This window comes from Homo sapiens, chromosome 13 (genome assembly GCF_000001405.40).
Source record: "Homo sapiens chromosome 13, GRCh38.p14 Primary Assembly".
In the NCBI taxonomy this organism is placed as follows: Eukaryota; Metazoa; Chordata; class Mammalia; order Primates; family Hominidae; genus Homo; species Homo sapiens.
In genome coordinates, this window is record NC_000013.11 from 98,664,985 (window position 1) to 98,692,283 (window position 27,299).

General features: G+C 45.5%; 1 protein-coding gene and 1 pseudogene across 1 annotated transcript in view; one reads left to right on the top strand and one right to left on the bottom strand.

The window, feature by feature from the left end:
• On the top strand, positions 6,996-7,294 carry RN7SL60P (RNA, 7SL, cytoplasmic 60, pseudogene; annotated as a pseudogene).
• Positions 18,817-27,299, bottom strand: part of SLC15A1 (solute carrier family 15 member 1) — a 68,872-nt gene continuing 60,389 nt past the window's right edge. Inside the window, exons 19-23 of the mRNA NM_005073.4 lie at positions 23,486-23,593; positions 23,264-23,372; positions 22,597-22,740; positions 21,206-21,313; positions 18,817-19,931 (exon numbers count right to left, since the gene is read on the bottom strand). Coding sequence (NP_005064.1) covers positions 19,740-19,931; positions 21,206-21,313; positions 22,597-22,740; positions 23,264-23,372; positions 23,486-23,593 — 661 coding nt within the window. The 3' untranslated portion in view covers positions 18,817-19,739. The remainder of the gene's footprint in view (positions 19,932-21,205; positions 21,314-22,596; positions 22,741-23,263; positions 23,373-23,485; positions 23,594-27,299) is intronic.

Below are 27,299 nucleotides of genomic sequence, written 5' to 3' on the forward strand. Positions count from 1 at the left end.
GTAGCAGATAAGGAAGCAAGGAAGTTTCATTTAGCCTGTGCATTTGGCCAAAGTCTGTCATTCAGCTTTGTGGTTAGGATTGCCTTTAGAGTGTCTGACAGCAAACTTCATTGCTTTTTTGGACATCCTGACCTCATGTACCTAGGTTACCATTAAGTCTAATCAATGTAGTGATGAATGCTGTTCAGGTTAATTATTATACCTGAATACTTGCTTGCAGATATGAGTAAATATTCCAGATTAATGTGTAATGAAAACACCCAGAAAACACATTCTTTAAGCAATGCACAGGTCTTAGTTTATGGGATTGCTTTGATGAGCTTGTATTTTTGCCATTGATCAAATCAGTAAGCTCAGGAGTTAAAGAACAAATACATCTTTGCCTTTGTTGCTTGCCACTTGGAGAAGAAAGGAAGCTTAATAACTTGGTAAACATGATCAACCCCAATGCCTGCCCTGGCAAAGGTAATCCCCCAGAAATCTTGCTCCCCCACTGACTTTATTGGAAAGTGAGTGACAAATCTCACAAAAATGTGGTTTTGTGGCCACGAAAGAAATTGCTTTTGTGTTGAAACGTCAAAATTTAAAAACTGACTTCTTAAATTCTTGATAACATTGAAATAATAAATAATTTTTGATGAAATTTCAGGTTTATTTTTGTAGCCCAGAGGTTTAGTCTTTGATGATTATTTTTGGCTTCAGCATCAGCTGAATATTGAATTTAACACTCAACCATTCCCATTTGGCCAAAATAAACATTTGATGCACCTGTGGTCACAAAGACCTTCAGGCTGACTCTCCCTCACTCTCCATGACTGGTCTGTGGAGGGGTTGGGGTGGGGACAATGAAGAACAATGAGGGCAAAGGTCAAGGGGTAAACAAAATAGCTGGAGAAGTTGTGAGCTCAAAAGCTTGTGACATTAGTCTTACAGCTTACCCTCCACTAATCTCCTTTTCTTCTAAAGGTAGGGACAGCTGCATTTCTCTTTTGAGCCCAGGGCCCTGGTTGGTACTAGCATTTTAGCACCTGGACCTCCTCTTGTCCTGCTCCTGGTCTGAGTTCTTTGGTCCAGAGGCCTTGGTCCCTCTAGCACTGGGATCTCGTCTCATGCCCTAAGTCTACCTTTGAAGCTTTGCGCTCATGGCTCTGCCCCTACTGTCCATTGTCAGGTTCTCTGAAAGAACTTTCCATCTCTCAGAGTCTAAGCCTTGGTCTCACTGCATGGCCCCTTCCTGTGGCTGTTGGCTGGCTGAGCCCCACTCTCTAGATTGAGAAGGTTCTGCTCCTGTATTGGCTTTCTCTGAAAACCCTGTGGCAAGGGCACAGCTGCCATATTGATTAAGTGTAGAAGCAGGCTTGGTCAGACTGTTAACGCAAAATACACTGGAATTCAAGAAATCTTTGGAATAAACAGATAAAGGAAGAAACATACATCATAGGTACAGGCATTTTAAAAAATAGCTCTTGTAGCAAGCCAGATAACACCTGGTTTGGAACTGACACTGATGACATCAGTTAATGGGACTGAGGACCCCATGAGATGCCAGAGCAGGTAATGGGGAGGGGGCAAGCTCACTGCTACAATATCTTACTTCATCTTGATTATATGCCTGGAAGAGATGCTCAGAAATATTTGCCATAGAATTAAATGAATTGGAAATCCTTTTACGTCTGTCTTTCCAAAGCATGCTGTTAATATTTGATTTAACAATTTACGATGACGTTTTCATTTTTCATTCAAAATTTTTACCCTGAAGAAAATCTCAGGCATCAGAAAAATTACAAGACTAGAATAATGAGGCTGGGCTCAGTGGCTCATGCCTGTAATCCCAGCATTTTGGGAGGCCGAGCCAGGCAATCCCCTGAGGTCAGGAGTTCAAGATCAGCCTGGTCAACATGGCGAAACCTCGTCTCTACTAAAAAATACAAAAATTAGCCAGACATGGTGGTGGACACCTGTAATCCCAGCTACTCAGGAGGCTGAGGCAGGGAGGATTGCTTGAACCCAGAGGCGGAGGTTGCAGGGAGCCGAGATCGTGCCACTGCACTCCAGCCTGTTCTACTAAAACATAGTACAACGAATTCAACAAATTTCATACAATCTTTACCTGAATACACCAATTCTAGCCATTGTTACATGTTTGCTTTCTTGCTCTCATTCTTTCTTTCTCTTTCTCTCTCTCTCATAGTATAGTATCTCATAAGAACAAAGGCATTCTGTTACCTAACTAGAGTACAATTAGTCAGAGTCAGGAGATTGAATAATAACACTCTTCTACTAGCCCAGGCGCAGTGGCTCATGCCTATAATCCCAGCACTTTGGGAGGCTGAGGCGGGCAGATCACAAGGTCAGGAGTTCCAGGCCAGCCTGGACAACATGATGAAACCCTGTCGCTACTAAAAATACAAAAATTAGCCCGGTGTGGTGGCGCATGCCTGTAATCCCAACTACTTGGGAGGCTGAGGCAGGAGAACTGCTTGAACTCGGGAAGCGGAGGTTGCAGTGAGCCGAGATCGCACCGTTGCACTCCGGCCTGGGTGACAAAGCGAGACTTTGTCTCAAAACAAAAAAACAAAAAACAACACTCTTCTATTATCTAACCAACTGTCCAGTAATGTCCTTTAGAACATTTCTTTCTGATCCAGGATCTAGCCCAGGATTGTGACTTGTATTTGGTTGTCATGTGTCTTTCCTTTCCTTTATCAAGACCAGTTCCTCAGCCTTTTCGTTTTGGTCTCCAATTATATATATATATATATATTTGTCTTTCACGACATTGGCATTTTGTAGGGGTACAGGCCATGTGCTTTGTAGATTATTTCCCCATTTTATCTTTGTTTCCTAGTGATTATGATCAGCTTTCTTGATTAGAATCAGGTTGTTCATTTGTGGCAGGGTTTCTACATAAATGATGTTGGATCCTTCTCAGTGCAATGCATTAGGAGGCATGTGATGTCAGCGTGTCCCATTACTGCTGATCACTCAGGTAAGACAGTACCCTCCCGGTCTCTCCACTACAAAGTTCCCTTTTTTCCCATTGCAATTAATAAATTAATTGTAGGGATAGGCTTTGAGATACATCCTGTGCCCCATTGTATTAGTCAAGGTTCTCCAGAGAAACAGAACCAATAGGATGTGTGCATGTGTGCGTGTGTGTGTCCATGTGCGTGTGTGTGTGCGCGTGCACAGAGACAGAGACTGATTTAGTTTAAGTGGCTCCTGCAACTGTGGAAGCTGTTGAGTCCAAGATTTGCAGAGCTGGCAGGTTGGTGGCCCAGGGAAGAGGAGATGTTGCAGCTTGTGTCTGAAGACAGTCTGAAGGTAGGATTTCCTTTTTCCTCAGCGGACCTTAGTCTTTCTCTTCAGGCCTTCTGCTGATTGGATGGCCCCCCTCCCCCATTAGGAAGGATAATCTACTTTGCTCAAAGTCTGCTGATTTAAATGTTTAGCTCATATAAAAAAGACCTTCACGGCCACATTCTGGTGTTTCAGCAAATATTTAACCCAGCCAAGTTGACACATAAAACTAAGCATTACCCCTGTCAAACTTTCACTGTTTCCCAGTGGTATGGTATACACAATTATTACTTTGACGTATATAATTCCAAAGTATTTCATTTTTTAAATATTTAAATCTTTGCTTCATTTGGAACTTATTCTGAGTGCAGTGTGACCTATGGATCTAACTTCATTTTGCTCCAGGTTAACTATCCTACTTTCCTATCATCGTTTGTTGAAAAGTCCATGTTTTCTCCCACCAATTTGATATGACAGCTTTATCGAATTCTAAATTCCCATATGATTGCAGTTCATTTGGATCTTTATCTTCCATTCCATTTGCTTACTTGTCTTTTCATACACCTGTATTTCCTGTTTTAAGTAAAGAGGATGTAGACCATTGTCTTTGGGTCTCTTGCAGTTTTCCACATCTTGTGAGCTGAAGATGCCTTTGGTCCAGACTGTCTTTATGAGGATATTTAGATGGCAAACAGCCTTGAAAGATAGAGATGGTGGCTCCCTGAAGTGAAGGACAGGCACGCCTATGCCCACCGTAAAAGATTTGGCTTTCCTAGGCTCAGAGCTCCTTCCCTTAGTGTAATACACAGTACATGCCGGTGTCCCCTGGCCCATTCTATGTCACCTTATGGGAATCAGGGGCTGGGAAACCCACACAAGAAAATGTTGATAATGCGGACACGTGGCTTTCCCCAGGAATCTCATGTCTTCTACTGGCATCATGAAACTGTGCAGGGTAACTTGTTAGCTTGAGAGAGGACGAAACATCACACTCTCCACCATCCTTGATGCCTCATACAGTCGTCTCTCCTCGACGCTCTTCTTTTTAGTTTTCCTGACATTTTTCCATGTCTACTTGTCCCTGTAAACTTAGAATTATCTAGTTCCAAAATGAAATCAATCAATTGAAGAAACAAAAGCTTCCAGTATTTTTATATGGAGTGTGTTAACTTTACAAGTTGATTGAGGGAAAATCTGTCTTCGTTGTCGAATATTCTTCTTTTCCAGTCTCATGCTCGACTTTGTAATCTGGGTCCTTATTAATTACAACTGAATTATAGCCCTTCTAAGAATCAAATCTTGGATTTAGTTTTAAATAAGTGAAACCTTAGGATGAAGAGCATAATGGCCAAAATGTGGCCTGTCATTTAGCAGAACCTGGGCTCCATCTGAAAAGTGAGGCAATAACAGAGGCAATCCTGTAGGGCTACTGGGGAGACCACGTGCATGAAGGCATATGGGTCAGGCGTGAGGAGGGCTGGATAAATGGCAGCAACTGTTATTCTTATAACTGGTTCTTTGTTGTAATAGTGATCTTTCATCTCATTTGGTCCTAAAAGTCCCAGTTCTAACCATTGTAATATGTGCAAATCTGTACAGTGAGGAAAGTCAGAATAATTCTTGCAATATGGAAATATGATTTATTGGACTCCTGTTGAACACAAATTCATTAATTTGACTAATATGGTTATTATCATCTATAAATAAAATCATTTCCCTCAAATTTATCTTTTAATTGAAAAACATTTCACATTTCTCATGGAGGCCACTACTTAATCATTTTTACAGTGTAATGAGAATGAGAGCCCTGCTTATTCAGAGAGGGGTAGTAATTGATGGCTGTGTTCCCTAGCAGAACTATTATGCTAAATCTGGGTCATCCATCCTTGGAAATGTTTGGTTCATAGATTAAAACCGATAGAAGGCACTGCAATCTTCAGAGTTTTACTGGAATTTGGCAATTTGCTTCATTCTAAGATATATTTTTCAATTCCCAATATTTCATTTGGATACTAAGAGCCCTGCCTTTGAGGTCATAATCAAGTGACTGAGTGATTTCCATAATTACATGCTAATTTTTAAGGCCTAAATCTAAAAGCGCAAGGGGACGCCTGAGTTGTTAAGGGCAAACCACTGAGCACAGTAACCTCGTCCAGAGGCAGGAGCGAAACTCAGGCAAAGCCTGTGTGGGTCTCATGGAGAAGCCGGTGGGACTTAAGACACAGCGCCCTAGTCCAAAGACAATGCCCTCTCTTATCTGTGACCTGGACGCTCCCTCCCTGCTTCGAGTCTTCCTGCCTTCGCTTCAAGTTGTCCCGCCTTTCCAGATGGAACCAATGTACTTCTTACCTATATCATTGATGCCTCATGTCTCCCTAAATGTATAAAACCAAGCTGTGCCTTGACCGTCTTGGGCGCATGTTATCAGGACCTCCTGAGGCTGCGTCACAGGCGCGTCCTCAACCTTGGCAAAATAAACTTTCTAAATTAATTGAGGCCTGTCTCAGATGTTCTGGGTTCACAGTATGGACCACATTTTCTTTATCCAGTGTATCATTCATGGGCATTTGGGTTGATTCCCTGTCTTTGCTATTGTGAATAGTGCTGCGATGAACATATGTGTGCAGGTGTCCTTATAATAGAATGATTTATATTCCTTTGTCTACCCCTACTCTTAAACATAGAGCAGACAGCCAAGGGTCATAAGACATCGAATGAGATCTGCTATTTGAAAAACATACCAAAAAACAAGCACATCAGAAAAAAAGGCAACTTGGGGAAAATAGAGATTACGTAGGGTAAAAAAACTTCAAAATCCGTATGTCAACTGTCTGAAACTTCTAAGAGAAGACACTGTAATCAAGAAGTACAAGCTGGATACTATAATCAATAACAATTCAGGTAATTAAAAAGCCCTTTGGATTGAAGACTTGATGAAGGAAGTAAAAAATACATGAGAGAGCTTAGAGCATAGCTGAAGCAATCTCAAAGTAGAGGCTGGGCACGGTGGCTCACACCTGTAATCCCAGCACTTTGGGAGGCCAAGGCAGGTGGATCTCTTAAGGTCAGGAGTTCGAGACCAGCTTGGCCAACATGGTGAAACCCTGTCTCTACTAAAAATACAAAAAATTAGCTGGGTGCGTTGGCAAGCACCTGTAATCCCAGCTACTCGGGAGGCTGAGGCAGGAGAATGGCTTGAACCTGGGAGGTGGAGCTTGCAGTGAGCCGAGATCATGCCACTGTACTCCAGCCTGGAAGATAGAGTTAGACTGTCTCAAAAAAAAAAAAAAAAAAAAGTGAGAAAAAGAAGTAGGAGAGAAAGGATAAGAAAATTAGAGAGCTGGTCAAGGAGGACTAACCTCTAAATAACAGGAGTCCAGAGAGAACAGAGGAAGTGGAAGGGAGAAAATTAAAAATGAAAAATTCATAAAAATGTCCCACAATCAAAGGACATGAGTTTCCAGTTTGAAAGGGCCACTGGAGCATCAGCACAATGGTTAAAAATGGGCCCATGCCAGATATATCATCATGAAATTTCAAATTTCTAGAACCCAACAGATGATTCTACAAGCTTCTGGAGAGAAAAACATTCTTACACACAAGATCCATAACAATCAGAATGCCTTGGGCTTTTCAATAGCTGAAGCATTGAAAGCTGGAACAGTGGAGTGATACTTTCAAAATTGCCGGGGAACACTGGGCATGGTGGTGTATGCCTGTAGTCCCAGCTATTCAGGAGGCTGATGGGGGAGGATCGCTTGAGCTCAGGAGTTCTGGGCTGTAGTGTGCTATGCCAATCGGGTGTCCACGCTAAGTTCAGCATCAATATAGTGACCTCCTGGGGGTGGGGGACCACCAGATTGTCTAGGAAAGGGTGAATTGGCCCAGATTGGAACTGGAGCAGGTCAAAACTCCTATGCTGATCAATAGTGGGATCGTACTTGGGCATAGCCACTGCATGCCAGCCTGGGCAACATGGTGAGGGTCCATCTCTTTAAAAAAAATTACCAGGAAAAATGGTCTCCAGCTGGAATTCTATACACAGTCAAATGTCAAGCAAAAGAGAAGGGAGAATTCAAACATTTTCAGACCTGCAAGACCCTAGAAAAAGTTTACCTCCCCTATTACCTTTCTCAGGAAGTCACTACAGAAAAGTACCCCACCAAAAAAAGGGTCTTCTTTCTAAGTCAAGAAAGAAGATGATATGGGGTACAGGAGGTGACAAAGTGGTGAGATGAAGGGGACCCCAACATAGTTTTTTGTTTTGTTTTGTTTTTTGTTTTTTAACCCAAACCAAAAATGGTCAATACCCAACATAGTTTTAGAAGGATTTCTCTGAATTCTGCTGTACAATGGGCCTCCAGGTTGGAGTCCTTCAAAAGGTTCTTCAAATACTGAAATTAATAGAATACTCATCAGAGTTGACTAAAATATCAGCCTTCATTACTCTCTGCCTCCCTACTCTCTTTGTTTCTGCTTTGTGACACTTATCCACACCTGACGTTAGACTCTCTGTCAGTTTATCTGGCCTACATCCGTGCCTAGAAAATAGTAATGCTTACTAAATATTTGTTGAATGAATGAATAGATGAGGACATATGTAAAATAATGCAAACCCTGGCATGTAGGAAGTGCTTTGTCAATGTGAATTTCTTTCCTGAATTTCTCCTAATTCAGGTAAAGCCCGTTGCTTCCACAAGATGTCTGGTGCCATCTGGAGGAATTGCGATCCCTGCTGGAATCCCTACCTGAGTCCAGACAGACTGTAAGTCCGCTATGGCCAGTCCCAAGATTGAAACTTCTAGAAATACAAATACTCAGTTTCGGACAGGCCTTCTGATGTGTACGCACAAAAAATTCCTAATTTCTGACATTGAGAAAAGCCTTTTGTTGCCATGTTTTCCTACAAATGTGCTTTCCTGCCATCTTGTGGCCAATCTGGGGAACTTGCAAACAGTTTGCCCGGACCTCACTCAGTCTAAAGAAAAGCTCCGGGAGCTGGGCTTGCCCAGAGCCATTTGGCAAAGCACCTGTGGTCATTTGACCACACCCTGGGGCCATCCGGCTTCTCAGACGCCCATGTTTTCGAAACAGGAAGCCACTGAGGTCACTGCTCTGTTTGGTGGCTTCTGCTGGGGACAGCTGAGAGAAGTGCCTGACCTTTGTCCTCCCATTTAGACACAGCCCCACTATTAACCCTGTCATGGTTGGACCCCAAGGATTTGCTCTGAGCATTCCGTGAACACCTGCAAACTCCTTGAGGGCAGGGCTTTATCTATGTTTTACCCCCAGTGTATCATACAGCATTGAACACATAGTAGGTGCTTACTAAATAAATGTTGTTGAAGAGATACTATCATTGGAGCATCTAAGAGCACTTCAATGAGCCAAGTCCAAGCACTTTACATAGATTGTCTTATTAAATTAAAGTGACCAACTCATCCTGTTTGGCCAAGGACTGTCCTGAGAATCCTCTCAGTCCTGGACCAACGAGGGCAGTTGTTCGGTCCCCTTAATGCAAATTCTGGCAACACCTCTCTGACATTGACACTACCATTATCCCCATATTTCAGAGAGAGGACTGAGGCTCAGAATTCTAAGAACTTGCCCATTATCACACAGGTCCTAAGAGCTCCCTACTTAGGGACTTAAATCCAAATCTTGGACTCTGCGACCTCCGTTCTCACCACCGTTCTGTGCTATTCCCTGAGAGGCAGCGCAGGTCCTTGCGTCGCAGATGGGGCTGCCTGTCTCCAAGGCCTTCCCTGCTCCTATGACAGTGGAGGTGTGAAGGGGATTGGAAGTGTCCTCGAGTTCTTTCTGAAGAAACACATCAGGCAAATAACAGATTTATAAAGGTGAGCTGAGGGGCGGTGGGGAGAGAGAGAGGGAGAGACAGAAAACATGCTCTTCTTAGCAATTCCACCTTGATATGATTACAGACTGGAAGTCTATACCTAGACTAGTTAACCAGGAAGGCAGATGGGAACTTGGATTTCCTACTTCCCAACTGTGGTTTCTGTTTCAATCACAGACTACTGCAGTCACCTCTCTGTTGGAAACAAACATTGACTCTCTGCTTCCTCCCAAGGTGCAGGCACTCTCAGAATTCGAGAGAACAGAGGCACAGGAAAGCCATCATCAAGCTTGGGTTTGTCTCTGTCACTTACAGAGTTGTAGGATCTCGAGCAAGTTATTGAACCACAGTGTGCCTCAGTTTCCTCATCTGTGGCATGAGGATGCTGATATGCTTACCTCCAAGGGCTGCTCAGGGTATTAAATGAATAAAATGCTCAAAGCCCTTAGAACAGGCCATGCTGAAAGTAGCAAATATCTTTCTCTTGTCTCCCACATTTCATCTGTCAGAGAATCCTGTTGGCTCCATCAACCTCCAAAGTATATCCAGAATCCCACCACTTCTCACCACCACACTGCCACCTACCTAGCCAGAGCCACCCTCCTGGAAGGTCACTTGGGAACCTGCATGGACACTTGGCCCCTTTCAGTTTATTCTTTTTTTTTTTTTTTTTTTTTTTGAGACGGAGTCTCGCTCTGTCGCCCAGGCTGGAGTGCAGTGGTGCGATCGTGGCTCACCACTGCTCCGAACTCCTTGGCTCAAGGAATCCTCCTACCTCAGCTTCCTGAGGAGCTGGGATCACAGATGTGTGCCACCATACCTGGCTAATGTTTAAATTTTTTGTAGAGATGCGGTCTCCCTATGTTTCCCAGGCTGGTCTCCAACTTCTAGGCTCCAAGTAATCCACCTGCCTCAGCCTCCCAAGTACCCAAGTGGCTGGGACTACAGACGCGCCACCACGCCCAGATCACTTTATTCTTAAGACAGTAGCTAGAGGGGTCCTGCCACACAGCAGTCACGTGACTTCTAGGCTCAAAACCCTCTGTAGACATCTCAAAAGCCCAGGCTTTCACCCTGGCCTGCCCAACATGAAAGACACACCCTTTCTCTCCGCCCTCAGCAACTCGCTCCCCTCACTCCCCTGATCCTGTGTGCTGACCTCTCGCTCTCCCTCCTTCCCCCTCCCCACATCCTGTATGCCGGCCTCTCGCTCCCCTCACTCCCCTGATCCTGTGTGCTGGGCTCTGGCTCTCCCTCACTCCCCCTGATCCTGTGTGCTGGCCTCTCAAAGACACCAGGCATGCCCCGCCTCCGGCCTTTGCACGGCTGCCCCTCTGCCAGGCACTCTCTGCCCTCACCTTGTTGAAGTGGCTGCTCACATGCCACCATCCCAGGAAGCGCCCTCTGACCATCCTTTTCAGTCACAACCTCTGTCCCTCTGCTCTATTTTTTTTTTTTTAGATCCATGGCACCCAACACCTCCTACTATACCACATCATTTTCCATAATTTCCTTATTCAGCCCATTTGTTGCTTATGGTTCATCGGCTGCTGCGAGAATGCGAGTGTGCACAGAGGCAGGGGTCTGGCTTCTTTTTGTTCTGGGAGGTATCCCACCTGCCTGGCATGTGTCTGCCCTTGGTGCATGCTCGGTAAGCATGGGTAGAACAACTAGCACAGGGCAAGGGCTCACCCAGGGGCCTTTCTTGGCACCACAAGGGCCTTACCCCAACCCTGGGAAGCGGGCACTGTCTTTATTTTACAAATGGTGACGTTGACGCCTCCAGCGGCCTGCCCAAGCTCACAGCTCAAGGAAGGGAAGAACCAGGAGCATGATGTGTTTCCACCCTCGCCCTGCAGTCTCGCTGCAGCCCCACCCTCCCGAAAGCACGCGTTCACCCAGGCTGCAGGGTCTCTCCCTGTGTCCGCTTCTTGCCAGCACCTGCCTGCTGCCCGACCCCTCCCGCCTGCAGGCAATTTGCCCGTCTCCACTTGCCAGAGGCACCTCCCAGGCCACACCACAGAAAGCCTGCACACTCCGATTTACCTCCATGTCCCGTGTTGGTCACTGCTGTGGTTTGGGAGCCACCGCCCTCTGCTACTGACTTGGTGCCTTCCTGGACCTCCCTAGTGGGCTCATCTGTTTCATCTTTCTGTACACTCATTAGGGAAGATGGGCACACACACACAAGCACCCACGCACGCACGCACGCACGCACACTCTCTCGCTCCTGCTGTAGGTCCTTAGCAACTAACGACTAGTTGTGCCTGTTAGTAGCTGGGTGGGACTTATTCCAGATCCTTTCCAGGTTTGTAAATCAAATCAAGGACCTGAGTCAGACTCCGGACTTACTGAAGTTCAACCTTCCTGAAGACGAAAACAGGCTGAGCAGCATGGATGGCAAGGCCGTCTCTGCCCCAAGGCACCAGCTGGCGGACAGGATCTCGGTTCCATCTACCAGCCACTGCAAAGCAGGGACATGTGTGTCAACCGGGCCCTGGGACAGGTGGTCTGGGCCTCCCCTCTCTTCCCTGTGGTGATGGGGACAGGGAACTTTGTAGGAGAAACCTACGAAATGGAAACTGTGAAGGGAAATGCTTTTTTTTTTTTTTTTTTTTTAATGAGATGGAGTTTCACTCTTGTTGACCAGCCTGGAGGGCAGTGGGGCGATCTCGGCTCACTGTAACCTCCACCTCCTGGGTTCAAGTGATTCTCTTGCCCCAGCCTCCTGAGTATCTGGGATTACAGGTGCCTGCCACCATGCCTGGCTAATTTTTGTATTTTTAGTAGAGATGGGGTTTTGCCATGTTGGCCAGGCTGGTCTCGAACTCCTGGCCTTGGGTGATCAGCCCACCTTGGCCTCCCAAAGCGCTGGGACTACAGGCATGGGCCACCGTGTCCAGCTGGGAAATGCTTTCCTTGACTCAGTGCTAGGAGTAGGATGGCCCCAAGCACAAAGGGCTGCTTAGTCAATCCTCTGACTGCCAGAAGGTACAAAGCTCTTAGAGCCTGACATGGTTTGGATGTGTGTCCCCTCCAAATCTCAGGTTAACTGTGATCCCCAGTGCTGGAGGTGGGGCCCAGTGGGAGGTGTTTGGGTCATGGGGGTGGGTCCCTCCTGAATGATTTTGTGCCATCCCCTTGGTGATGAGTTGTCGCTCCGTTAGTTCACATAAGACCGGGTTGTTTAAAAGTCTGGGATCCCCCCACTCTCTCTCATTCCCACTCTTGCCATGTGATGGGCCTGCTTCGGCTCTGCCTTCCGCCGTGGTTGTAAGCTTCCAGGGGCCTCGCTAGAAGCCAAGCAGAGGTTGGTGCCATGCCTGTACAGCCTGCTGAACGGTGAGCCAAATAAAACTCTTTTCTTTATAAATTACTCAGTCTCAAGTATTCCTTTATAATAACACAAAAGCGGACTATGAATAATACAGGGCCCCACGCTGGCCTCCAGAACATTCAGCCCTTAGAAATGCATGGCTTTTTGTTCCAGGCGCGCCAGAACAGCACCCCACCAGATTCGCTTCCCGTGGCTTTTGAGTCTTAAACATATCTACGGCGTCTAGGAGCCTCATTAGAACAAACCAGACATTACATCAAATGAAAACCCCAGTGGTTCTGAATCACCAGATGTTAGCAGGAGGCGAGATGAAAAGCCACAGTCCTCTCGCAGCAGCTGCTGGAGGTGGCTGTGTCCTTGCTGATGGACCTGGAGGTGGCTGTGTCCTTGCTGATGGACCTGGAGGTGGCTGTATCCTTGCTGATAGACCCGAGATACCTGGAGACCCAGGCTCACTCCCTGCTCACTGCCTCAGATCAGGGCTGGAGACAGAAACCCGGACACACAGGACCCTCTTGAGAAAGCCCAGGAGCCCTCAACATCACAGGACACAGGCAAGTGGAAGGAGAATGGCTTTTTCGTTTCTCACACTCTGGTGGCCTCTGGGGTGAGGGGGAGTGGGGAGTTAGTGTGGAATGCGGACAGAGTTCCTGTTTTGCAAAATGAAAAAAGTTCTGGAGATGGATGGTGGCCATGATGAAAAAGTTCTGGAGATGGATGGTGGCCATGATGAAAAAGTTCTGGAGATGGATGGTGGCCATGGTCCTCCAGCAATGAGGATGTTCTTCATGCCACTCAACTGCAGACTTAAAAACTGGTTCAAATGGTAATGTTACCTTATCTTTATTTTGTCATAATTTTATTTTTTGAGACATTCTCACTTTGTTGCCCAGGCTGCAGCACAGTGACACAATCCTGGCTCACTACAACCTTCGTCTCTCGGGTTCAAGCGATTCTCCTGCCTCAGCCTCCTGAGTAGCTGGGATTACAGGCGCCCACCACCAGGCTTGGCTCATTTTTTGTATTTTTAGTAGAGACGGGGTTTCACCATGTTGGGCAGGCTGGTCTCGAACTCCTGACCTCAGGTGATCTGCCCGCCTCAGCCTCCCAAAGTGCTGGGATTACAGGCGTGAGCCACCACACCTGGTCTGTATTTTGCCATAATTTTAAAATAAATAAATGGAGGAGCCTGCCCCTTCTTGCTGCCCTGTGCTGTAGGCCCATGGACTTCCATGCTCGCCTTTCCTCTCCTTCGCTGTTTCTGGCCACTCCTTTTTCTGTGGCTTTTACTCCCTCTGCCCCTAAGCCGGCTGCCCCTCCAGGTGAGATGCTGGCCTACTGTGTGGTGAGTTTCAGAGCTAATCACCACCGCCTTGTTGGGGGGGTCACCCACCGGGACACCCATAGGCAATAGGGCACTCACAAACCGGGCCCATGGGGGAGGGGGTTCCAACATCCTTACAGGAGGCCCTGACTCCACTAAGAGGATAAATGTGCTGAGACTCCACTAAGAGGATAAATGTGCTGAATCTTTTCTGTTTAGCCGTTTGAGAGCAGGGTTTTTCAGCCTCTCCTTTCTACACACTTAAGCCCCTCTTAACCACCGAGGCCAGGCCTAGGGGTTCATCCTTCCCTTCAAGCGGACAGTTCACTCTCCGAAGCCCTTCAGTGCCCACTTTGCCTTCCCTTGCCCCCTTTACATGGCCTCAGCCATCACAAGTTTGCTTTCTGTTATATGAACATAGTGTTGTGGTTAACAGGGCTTTCTCTTTGCCCAGACATGCCTGGGTTCAAATCCTGGCTCAGCAAGCAGCCAGATATATGGCCTTGGACCAGTTACTTAAATTTCACGTTCTCCAGTTTCCTTGTATCCAAAATAGGAATAACAAAACCTTCCTTAGTTTTGTTATAAGGATAAAAACAGAATTAATCCATACTGCCCATTGAACATTGGCAGTGAGAGGCGGCTCTGTGCAATGACTGGCAGCTGGGCTCTGGAGCAGGACTGGGATGGCCTGGGGCAGGGTACTTGGTTTCACTGTGCCTATTTTCTCCTCTGTGGAATGGGAATGGGTAACGGTAATCTACATTACAAGGCTGTGGCAAGGATTGCATGTTTGTAAATTTCATTCAATAGAGTGCTTGGCATGCTGTCTGCACATACTCAGTGTTCAGTAAATACTCACCACTTTTGTTAGCAAGTGAGGTGGCCATTTAGAAACGAGGTGGCCAGGCACAGTGACTCACACCTGTAATCCCAGCACTTTGGGAGGTCGAGGCAGGCAGATCACCTGAGGCAGGCAGACCACCTGAGTCAGGAGTTTGAGACCAGCCTGGCCAACATAGTGAAACCCCCGTCTCTACTAAAAATACCAAAATTAGCCAGGCATGGTGGTAGGTGACTGTAATTCCAGCTACTTGGGAGGCTGATGCTGGAGAATCGCTTGAACCTGGGAGGCGGAGGTTGCAGTGAGCCGAGATCATGCCATTGCACTCCAGCCTGGGCAACAAGAGCGAAACTCCGACTCAAAAAAACAAAGAAGCTACCAGGCCAGACTCGGTGGCTCACGCCTATAATTCCAGCACTTTGAGAGGCCAAGGCAGGTGGATTGCTTGAGCTAAGCAGTTCGAGACCATCTGGGGCAACATGGTGAAACTCTGTCTCTACAAAAATTGGCAGGGCATGGTGGTTTGCACCTATAGTCCCAGCTACTTGCAGGGCTGAGGCGGGAGGATAGCTTGAGCCCAGGAAGCAGAGGTTGCAGTGAGCCAAGATGGTGCCACTGCACTCCAGCCTGCATGATAGAGCTAGACCTGGTCTTTAAAAAAAAAAAAAAAAAAACTACCAAAAATATTCCAGAATGCATGACAAAAATCAATGTCTAAAATAGTCAACAAAAATCAAACCTGGACATACATTAACTAAAGTAATTTTATAACATCTAAAAGAGATATCAAAATAAATATTTTAGTGCCCTGAAAAAAAGAAAGAACATTCACAAAACGAAAAACATAATTGGCTGGGCATGGTGGCTCAAACCTGTAATCCTAGCACTTTGGGAGGCTGAGGCAGGCAGATCACTTGAGGTCAGGAGTTTGAGAACAGCCTGGCTAACATGGTGAAACCCCATCTCTACTAAAAATACACAAATTAGTCAGGCGTGGTGGCACACACCTATAATCCCAGCTACTCAGGAGGCTGAGGCAGCAGAATCGCTTGAAGCCAGGAGGTGGAGGTTGCAGTGAGCCAAGATCGTGCCACTGCCCTCTAGCCTGGGCAACAGAGTGAGACTCTGTCTCAAAAAAAAAAAAAAAATTATGGAACACATGGAAACAACAAGAATAGTGCAACATGAAAAATATTCATATATGCATTGTAAATACTTCTCAAGGTATGCTGGCTTTTAGGAGTAAGAAACGAAGTCCTGCTATGTCCAATTAAAGCATTTCCATCCCAGGGGCTTCTTTAGCTCCTCCCAACCCATGCTGAATTGTATTTTAATAGTCAGACAATGATCAAGTCAGTGTACTATTTTGGTTATACATTGGTCATCATGGAATTTAGAGAAAGGCACAAAACACGAAAAAAAATGAGTTGCAGGAAAAGTACAGAAGAGCAGAGGTTAGTGATGTGGCCTCTGCATTCCCCTCCACCACCCCCATCCATGACATTTGCAATTGCATGAGGTCTTGCAAAGAGGGCACCCATGTTGGCCTCTGTCCATCTTGATTATGCTTGGAAGTGGTGAAATGAGAGCCAGAGGGAGGATTACTCTGAAAAGTCAACCCTGATGGGCAAAATGCCCAAGCTCCCCTCTGTGCTCTCTGCATGTCCATCAAAGGTTGAAGAAGAGCCTGTAGGCATCATTTCCACCCATATGCAGAGCACACTACATGTTAGTTACTCACACGCAAAGAACACTATGTGTTAATATCAGACTTGGTTGAGGGGCATGACAACGACCTTCATTCAAATATATGAATGCCTGTTGTGTGCCAGGCACCCTTAAACAAAGGATTTATTTTTTTATTTTTATTTTTATTTTTCTTGAGACGGGGTCTCACTCTGTTGCCCAGGCTGGAGTGCAGTGATGCGATCTCGGCTCACTGCAACCTCCGCCTCCCGGGTTCAAGTGATTCTGCTGCCTCAGCCTCCCGAGTAGCTGGGATTACAGGTATGTGCCACATGCCTGGCTAATTTTCGTATTTTTAGTAGAGATGGGGTTTCACCATGTTGGCCAGTCTGGTCTCAAATTCCTGACCTCAAGTGATCCACCCGCCTCGGCCTCCCAAAGTGCTGGGATTACAGGCGTGAGCCACTGGACCCAGCCAAACAAAGGATTTTTAAGGCCTCACATTGTCTGCCTGGTATTCTCTTTATTTCACAGGAGAGGAAATGATTAAAAAGATCAAAACCTGCCCAAACTTATACTGCAACTATAAGAGTGGAGCACTAGGGCTGGGTGCTGTGGCTTATGCCTGTAATCCCAGCACTTTGGAAGTCTTAAGCCCAGGAGTTCGAGACCAGCCAGTGAGACCCTGCCTTTACAAAAAAAATTAAAAACTTAGCTGGGTGTGGTGGCACAAGCCTGTAGTCCTAGCTACTTGGGAGGTTGAGGTGAGAGGATCCCGTGAACCTAGGAGTTCAAGGTTGCAGTGAGTTATGATCGTGCCACTGCACTCCAGCCTGGATAACAGAGTAAAAACTTGTCTCTTAAAAAAAAAATTAAAAATTAAAAAACAAATAGAGGATTACTATGTTCTGGAGACTGAACAGTGAACAAGATATACAGAAGAGCTTTTGGTCTAGGAAAAGCTAGATAGTGATGATCCACTGAGGTCTGTGCAACTTGAAAATGTGAAGCTGTGTTATGGGAGCTCAGAGCAGGGCCACAGCCTAGCATGGGAGGGAGGGAGGACAGGAAAACTCTTGGAGGACATGGCATGAAAATGAAGAGGGCTTAGCCAGGTGGAGGGGTTGGGGGTGGTGGAAATTAAGTATCTTGGGGTATTCTTTTTCTTGCCTTTTGACTTGGGAATGAGAATGTGATGTGTTCCAGGAAGGAGCAGCAGCTCCATGCTGGCAGGATCAGAGTGCATGGAGAGAAAGGAAGTGTGTCCAGAGGGAAAAAGAGCCTCATGGCCCCTAGTTAAGGAATTAGGACTCGATCCCAAGGCTAGAAAAAGTGTTAAGATTTGATAATCACATTATGTTTCTCACTCTGGACTTTGAGTCTCCCCTTCAATGCAGCCCCTATGGTGCAATGGCGAGCTTGTATATAAGCATTTTAGAGGCCAAATGCGAACTCTTCCTTCTAATGCAGGAACCAGTTTCAATCATCAGAGTTGCGCACTAGTTTGTCTAAGAACTGTGGCTTGTTTGTGTAGGAGTGCCAAGGTAGACTCATTCTGGACCTGATACCTGGGATGGCTAAATGATAAACATCTCTAGGATAAATTAGGCATTAGGTGTTTAAAATGTTTTAGAAGAATTTTTACGCCAGCAGGAAATGTTTGTGAGTATCGAGAAAAACACTAGGAGATGGTACACAAATGTGCACATAGGACGGTCCTAGTAATATAAGTCTCTCCTATCTATCTATCTAATCTATCTATCATCTACCTGCCTACCTACCTACCTACATTTATCTATCTATCTATCATCTATCTACCAACCTACCTGTATCTATCCATCATCTATCGATCTATCTATCTTCTTCTTTTTTTTTTTTTTTGAGATGGAGTCTTGCTCTGTCGCCCAGGCTGGAGTGCAGTGGTGTGATTCCAGCTCACTGCAAGCTCCGCCTCCCAGGTTCACGCCATTCTCCTGCCTCAGCCTCCCCAGTAGCTGGGACTACAGGCGTCTGCCACCACACCCAGCTAATTTTTTATATTTTTAGTAGAGATGGGGTTTCACCGTGTTAGCCAGGATGGTCTTGATCTCCTGACCTCATGATCCACCCGCCTCTACCTCCCAAAGTGCTGGGATTACAGGCGTGAGCCACTGTGCCCGGCCTATCTATCTATCTTCTATCTACCTACCTACCTTTATCTGTTTGTCTGTCTATCTATCTATCGATCATCTACCTACCTACCTTTATCTGTTCATCTATCTATCTAATCTATCTATCTATCATCTATCTATCTGCCTATCTACCTTTCTTTATCTGTTTGTCTGCCTATGTATCAATCAACCAATCAATCAATCATCCCTGGGGAAAACAGGACCAGGAAGAAATTTTAATGAGCAGGTGCTGCTTTTATAATCAGATAGGATGTTAAAGATTTCTTACCCTACCCAGAGATACATGAACACTTAGGCTTAAGAACAGAAATTTATTTCACACCATTGAAACTTCAAAAAAATCATTACTGGCCTTCACCTGAGCTGTCTTTCGAGTTATCCATAATTTAAACACAGGTAGGGACTAGAAAAACAAAATAACAAAAACCCAAAGGTAAAGTTATCAGTTAATACCAGCTGGTCCTTATCACAGCCATTTCAAACCTGTACGTTCACTTTTGGCCTTGGCTCCTGCCTCCTTTAGAATAGTTTTCGTAAGAGTATTAGAAATGAACAGTATGGAATAGGAAACTTTGTTACCATTTCAAAATTAAGCTAGTCCAAAATAACATCATTTGTGTGATAGGGAAGATGACCAATGTGGGGTGGGCTCACAGTACTCTAAGACAGTGTGTGTACGTGTGGCTTAAATAAGCCTTTCAAACAGAAGACTTCTTCCAGAGTTTTAGATTCACTGCTGGCTGCTTAGAAAATAGCGTTCACGGCCGGGCGCGGTAGCTCAAGCCTGTAATCCCAGCACTTTGGCAGGCCGAGGTGGGCAGATCACCAGGTCAAGAGATCGAGACCATCCTGGCCAACATGGTGAAACCCCATCTCTACTAAAAATACAAAAATAGCTGGGCGTGGTGGTGCATGCCGCTAATCCCAGCCACTCGGGAGGCTGAGGCAGGAGAATTACTTGAACCTGGGAGGCGGAGGTTGCAGTGAGCTGAGATCGTGCCATTGCACTCCAGCCTGGACAACAAGAGCAAAACTCTGTCTCAAAAAAAAAAAAAAAAAAAAAAAGAAAAGAAAAAGAAAAAAGAAAATAGCATTCATGGTTTAGTTCCCAATTCTGAAGTCTTCCTCATCAGGGGCCATCCAATGGAGTGTCCTGCTACCTGGGGGCAGAGGTCAGGGCATCTGCGGGCCCAGTCCATCCTCCACTTGCCTCCTGACCTTCACATCTGTTTCTGTGAATTGGCCCCTGACATGAAATATGGGTTACTCTTTTCCAGTCTGTTTTTCTTTTCATCCTCATCAAATTGAGCTTCGATCTCCGCTGGGTTGATGTAAGTATAGAACCGAGCCATGATGGCAAAAATTACACAGACGACCAGAAGCAACGCGGCAAATAGAATGTACTCGGCCCACTTTGAAGAAATCAGAGTTGGAGCAGGAAAAAGAACAAAAATAAAACAGGTCATACTGATGAATATATGGTGCGTACATGTTCTTGCTACATGCAGATGGAGAGTGCTTTGAAATTAAATTATGGAAAATTGGTAAGCAACCAATACAGATACAGTAAGCCCAGCTTTTCTGGAATGCCCAAGATAGATAGATGCTAATATAGACAACATGTTTTGAACAGCACTAAGGTACAGAAACAACAGACTTTGGGAAGATGAGAGAAAATTTCTGAAATACTGAAGCCTTAAGACATGTGGCTGGACCTGGAAGGATGGGGACCAAGAGAACAGCAAGCAGTCCCCACAAGGGAAAAATGAATATGCTGAACTCCAGCAAGTTAAGAGCCCCACGTTCCTCCTTGGAAACACCTGGAGCTCATAAGCACACAGCATTAGCACATCTGCTGCTGGGACCTGGTGCAGGAAGTCATGAAACGGATGGGATAACAGCTCCCTTATGAGGCAGACATGCTACAGTGCAGAAGGAAAGAGTGTAAGTATCAGTAGAGCCCTCATTTAATTTTAGCTGGAAAATTTATAACCAACTCTAGGATGGCTTTAACTTCAGGTGTTATGAAAGTTCCAGGATAACATGTGTCTGCTTTGCAGCTGCTAAGCTGCATTCACTGAAGCTAGGAGAGATGTTTCCCTTGATAGTAAAACACATAAGGGCAACTTCAAGTTAACCCATTCCAGCTATTTTGGTTGTCAATTTCCAGCTGCGTTAACAACAAGTGGGAATAAGAAGAATCATCAGGCCAGGTGCAGTGGCTCACACCTCCCAGCACTTTGGGGGGCCAAGGTGGGCAGATAGCGAGGTCAAGAGATCGAGACCATCCTGGCCAACATGGTGAAACACTGTCTCTACTAAAAATACAAACATTAGCCGGGTGTGGTGGTGGGTGCCTGTAGGCTCAGCTACTCTGGAGGCTGAGGCAGAAGAATCACTTGAACCCGAGAGGCGGAGGTTGCAGTGAGCCAAGATTGCGCCACTGCACTCCAGCTGGGCAATAGAGTGAGACTCCGTCTCAAAAAAAAAAAAAAAGAAGAAGAAGAAGAAACAGCAGACACTTTGCCATAAGGCTATTTGGGAACAGCCCTGGCTGGTCTGGCAGTTTAATCCAGCTATTAGCCTAGATGACCACACAGAGCACACAGATGGCTAGGGAAGGCCACCATGATGACCATGAACAGGAAAGACAGAGGTATGTGCAATCTCCTCTCCCACGCCATACCTGTTTGCTGAACTGGCCTGCCCCTGCCACGATGAGCACAATGATGTTGCCAACAGCCACGGTCAGCAGCCATCCTGCCTGAAGCACCGACTTCATGTTGGAAGGAGCCTGAGGAAGCAAAGCAAAGTGAGTCCTGCTCCAGGTCTCACCCTCCGAGCAGGAGAACACAGCTCACCGATGGGCGTTTCGTGAAGCAGATCACCCTAACAATGCACACGAAAAGTCAGGTGGCCTCAATGTAAAAAGGATCATCACTTAAGTAACAAGACACCCAAACATGCACAGACGAGTAGACAAGAATTCCTGTGTTTCACGCTCCACATCCTTGCAAAGCTGTCCCCTTAGTTAAATGGACACATCTACGGAGGAGCTGATCCTATTTCTACAGGAGAGCTTCCAAGCAAAGCCACCCAGCCTGGCATAGTCTTCCCCTCAAATGCAGGCTGCCCTGGGCTGCAAGCTTGCCCTTCTGTGGCTTTCCTGCCACATCTCCAAAATCTCTTCAAACACCTGTCACCTGTATTACAGTTATCTCCTTTATTAGACTGTGAGGTTATCACAGAAAGTGATTTTCTGACTCATCTTGGCCTCTTTACTATAAAAATTGATGGTACTAGGCATTGTGGGCTATAATGCCTATAACTATAGCTCTGACAACACAGTTCAATAATTAAGCTCTAATTTGGGTATCAATAAAACCTAGCTCATTAGTCTAACACACTTAAAAGCAATAATTCTTTTAAACTTTTTCTTTTTCTTCTTTTTTTTTTTTTTTTGAGATGGTGTCTTGCTCTGTTGCGCATGCTGGAGTGCAGTGGTGTGATCACAGCTCACTGCTGCCTCGGACTCCTGGGTTTAAGCAATCCTCCTGCCTCAGCCTCCCAAGTAGCTGGGACCACAAGCGTGCTCTACCATGCTCAGCTAATGTGTTTTTTTAATTTTTTTTAATTTTTAAAGCTAGACCTTATTTGTTATGTTTACTGGGAGCTATAAAGAGACCTCAACCAAACCTATCATGAGGACATAGACCTGTAATTGAGCTGTTTTATGAATGGTTGGTTACATTTGGTTGTTTCAGAAAGGAGAATCTGCTGACCTTCATCACTCTGGTAGCAGTCAGTAATAAATACTGGGCGCTAAATGTCTAGGGTATGACTGTGGGGCTATGGACACATGTGAACACGTGCTCTTGCAAAGTTCAAGACAGTAATAATTCTTATTCACTAAGGACAACACTTGGTGACCTCAGAGACCTTGCTGTAGGGAAGATACCATAATGCTTTCTAGACTTTTTAAAAAATATAGTTATCCCAGATTTAAATTAAGTCCCATCAGCATTTTCTGCAGGCAGGGGTATTGCAGATGGGTGGTAAATACAACAAACAAGAAACCTGAGAATATGAGAATTCCAATCCCGTGACAGAGAAGACCACTTCGCCACAGGTGAGAAGAAAATACTGCGGGATTTGCAGAGCCATGTTAACTGTGTTGGCTGAAATATCTTCAAACACCTTCACTTCAGGGCAGCTGTCATTCTGCAGCAGTAAGGCAAAAGCAGAAGAAGTTGAGATAGCTTCTAAAATAAAAACTGTTCGAACAGGTAAATTGAGTTTGACCTTCTAGGATTACATCATATGATTTGTCAAGTACGTACACATTTTAAACATAAGGCAACACTGCATTTTACACTTGCAATGGGATTTGAAGACACGTTCAGGAGGATTTTTCTTTTAGATAAGAGAGTAGGTTGGAAGTCATTTTAAAACACTGCCCTCTCTTTGAACTATGAGTTCTTTAAGTCCATGTTAATAGTCTAGAAGGAGGCATCAGATATTGGTTAACATAAATTATTATCCAGGGGAAGTCAGTCTGTTTAGATTCTAATGATTAAGTCATCAATAAGTTAAAGAATTAGCCAAGCAAATTAATTCTAAGCCCATTTAAAATACAGATCCTAATATCACTCTAGTTAAATCATATTATGTCCTAAGTGTTTGTGAGTCTTCATATCAATCGAGTATGAGCAGATCTTCTGATACAATGAAACGAGTTACTAACCTTCCTTTGGACTATATAGGTATAAGCACTACCAAATTCAAGGTAGAAAGTATTGAAATTAGGTTGACATTGTGGCGGAATCTCTGTTGAGCTTATTGTGAAGCCTTTTCTATCAAAATAAAGAATAATATTGGTTAACATTCTTGGCATTAAAAATTTCAATGCATTTTTTAAAGAAAAATTCTTGAACCTTTGAGTGAAGCATTCAGTCTCGGTACTTACATGCCAGAAGGAAAAAACTGGTATGTGCTGGCATTGTAGCTGCTGATGTTTGCATAAACTTTCCCACTCATTGTGATGGTGATGAGCTCGTTAAAAGTATTTACAAATCTGAAACAGAAAACCATCTGTCTTGTAACTGAACTAGAGAATAATATATTCTAGGTCACAGTACATGCACCTGAAGTTGGGCAATACTCCCTATTTTGAAGGAGTTTAAGATGTTTTCAGAATATTTCTAGAGAATAAAGACAAAAAGTGAAAAACTCTGGGTTTATCCCTGCTCACCCACTCATGAGAACACACCTAAAAGAATGTATTTAACAGTGTTTATATGTGCTGGTTACTGCTCTAAGTACTTTGTAAATCTAACCTAGTTCAATACATTAGGAATATTAAGCAGGGACTGAAGTAGATACTGAGCCTCTTCCCTTCAAGAAGGTAGCCGTGCCTTTGTGTTCCTTGTTTCAGAAACTTTATTTATTTATTTAGAGATGGAGTCTCGCTCTGTCACCCAGGCTGGAGTGCAGTGGTGCAATCTCGGCTCACTGCAACCTCTGCCTCCCAGGTTCAAGCGATTTTCCTGCCTCAGCCTCCCGCGTAGTTGGGACTACAGGCATGCACCACCACACCCGGCTCATTTTTGTATTTTTAGTAGAGGTGGGGTTTCGCCATGTTGGCCAGGCTGGTCTTGAACTCATGACCTCAGACGATCTGCCCACCTCGGCCTCCCAAAGTGCTGGGATTGCAGGTGGGAGCCACTGCGCCTGGCCAGAAACTTTAGCGCTCAAGTAGTGAAAGACCAAAACCAGATGCTGCCCAGTTCCTAAAAGATAGACCCCAGTTCCTAAACGACACCCCCTTCTTTAGGGGGTTGAGGAGGAAAGCCCACCTACTTCCTACCTCTAGGAGCCTCAGGTGGGGAAGGGCACCCGGGACTGGAGAGGAAGAAGTGGGCCAGCCCAGTAACAAGAGACGGTTTTTTCAGTCTTTTTTAGAGATGAGGTCTTGCTCTGTTGCCCAGGCTAGAGTGCAGTGATACAATCACAGTTCAATGCAGCCTCGAACTGTGGGCCTCAAGTGATCCTCCCACCTTAGCTTCCTGAGTAGCTGGGACTACAGGTGTGTGCCACAATGCCTGGCTAATTTTTATTTTTATTTTTGTAGAGACAAGGGTCTGGCTGTGTTGCCCAGGCTGGTCTCAAACTCCTGGCCTCAAGAGATCCTCCCTCCACAGCCTCCCAAAGCACTGGGATTATGGGTATGAGTCATTATACCAGGCTGAGAGACAGCTTTAAGGAATCCCCTTCAGAGGGTGGAGGCCTGTGTGGTCCTGGAGTGACAGTGGTCAGCATCCTGCTGGAATACAGCTTTGAATGGATACCCAATAAGACCGACTTCCAGGTCCAAGGCTTCCTATCTCTACAAAGTCCCGTGAGGCTACGCTTCATATGGAAGCAGGTGAATTGTTTGCCTTCATAGGACCATACAGATGGTGAACAGCACGGATGGCTGATTACAGACCCCTTTCATAGCTGTTCCAGGCTATAGACGACCCTGAAACTCTCATACAACCCTAGTGACCAGGACGGTGTTGCTCAAAATAAGACCAGTTGACTTTTCCTACCAAACACATGAGTGAAGGCCTAGAGCAGATTATCCAGGGTAGAGAACAATAAGTCTTACTAGTGTACACCTCAGCAGTGTAAAGAATAATTTAACCTTTCCATGGCTAAAATGTGGGGCCAAGTTTCATCAGTTTTGTGGCAACAAATAATACTGATCAAATTTTAGGTGCTGGGAGAAAATGGCTATGAATTAAACTCAGGTCCTGAAGTCCCGAGGCCTTCTACTTGGTGTCATTTGATAGCTGATTAATATGGAAAATGGAACCTGAGACAGATCCACACGGGCCTTAGCTAGAATTCCCACTGCTCTAGACTGTAAGAGCTGCTTTTATCAAAGATGAAGATCACCCACACAAAAGAGAGCATGTGGGCAGAGTGAAGCCGAGGAAGCAGAACGTTGGGCCTGAGGCCTGGCTTTATAACTTATCAGCCATCAGACTCTGAATGAAACCATCCCTAAGGCTAGAGGATTCTGAGCTGCCTGGCCTATGTCTTAGGGCTGGTGCGACAAGAAATGAAAACACAGTCCGAGTAACTTAATGATGGGGATGGGGTCTGGGAAATGCGTCCGGAGGCGATTCAGTGGTGATGGGAACCTCACAGCGGGCACTTACCCACACCTAGACGGTGCCACCCACCACACACCCAGGCTGCATGGGTGTGGCCTTTGGCTCCGAGGCTACAAACCTGTGCAACGTTGGCTGCACTGAATACTGGAGGCAACTGTGACACAATGGTAAGGATTTGCACATCTAAACATGTCTAAATACTCCCATTCGTTCCTCCCTGGCCCCCTGGCAGCCATTCATCTGCTTTCTGTCTCCATGGCTCTGCCTGCCACTTGATGTCAATGGAATCATTCTATGCAGGTCTCTGTGACCAGCTTCATCCCTCTTAGCATATTGTCTTTCACATTCGTTCATATCGTGGCATGTATCCGTACTCCATTCCTTTTTTGTTTTTTTTTGAGATGGATTCTCACCCTGTTGCCCAGGCTGGAGTGCAGTGGTGCGATCTCGGCTCACTGCAACCTCCGCCTCCCAGGTTCAAGTGATTCTCCTGCCTCAGACTCCCAAATAGCTGGGACTACAGGCCCCCGCCACCGCACCTGGCTAATTTTTTGTATTTTTAGTAGAGAGGGGATGTGTTAGCCAGCATGGTCTCAATCTCCTGACCTCATGACCTGCCCACCTCGGCCTCCCAAAAAGTGTTGGGATTACAGGCGTGAGCCATCACACCCGGCCACTTCATTCTTTTTTATGACTAACATTCCATCATATGGATATACCACCTTTTATCAGCTGATGGACATTGGATTTATTTGTACGCTTTCTCTATTGTGAATAATGCTGCAATGAACATGCATGCACAAGTTTTTGTGTGGACATGTTTTCATCTCTTCTGGGTGACACCTCACATGTCACATTTGGCAGGCTTCCAAATCAACCACCTGAGGAAGGTCTCACAATACATGGCGTATAGCCTGTCTGTGAGTAAAGAGTGACTCCCTCCAATCTTATTGTGTTGATATCTGATTAATACGTAGCCCACTAACACTGAAAAGGATGCAGATTTGCTTCTGAATCATGACGTTTTACTGACTTTCTTGTGGTAAAACATTTTAGCCCATATGTTGTCATCTGTAGCCAGTGATCATAACCTCTGTATTATAACCTCCAATGAAAATGGAAAGCTTGAGCGGGGCACGGTGGCTCACGCTTGTAATCCCAGCACTTTGGGAGGCCGAGGTGGGCAGATCATCTGAGGTCGGAAGTTTGAGACCAGCCTGACCAACATGGAGAAATCCCGTCTCTACTAAAAATACAAAATTAGCTGGACATGGTGGTGCATGCCTATAATCTCAGCTACTCGGGAGGCTGAGGCAGGAGAATCGCTTGAACCCAGGAGGTGGAGGTTGCGGTGAGCCGAGATCGCACCATTGTACTCCAGCCTAGGCAACAAGAGCGAAACTCCATCTCAAAAAGAAAAAAAAAGAAAATGGAAAGCTCTAATATGAGGAGTCCCCCTCTCTTCTCCTAAACTTTTTTTTTTTTTTTTTTTTTTTTTTTTTTTTTTTAAGACAAGGCCTCACTCTGTCACCCAGGCTGGAGTGCAGTGGTGCAATCATGGCTCACTGCAGCCTTGAACTCCTGGGCTCAAACAATCCTCTCACCTCAGCCTCCTAAGTA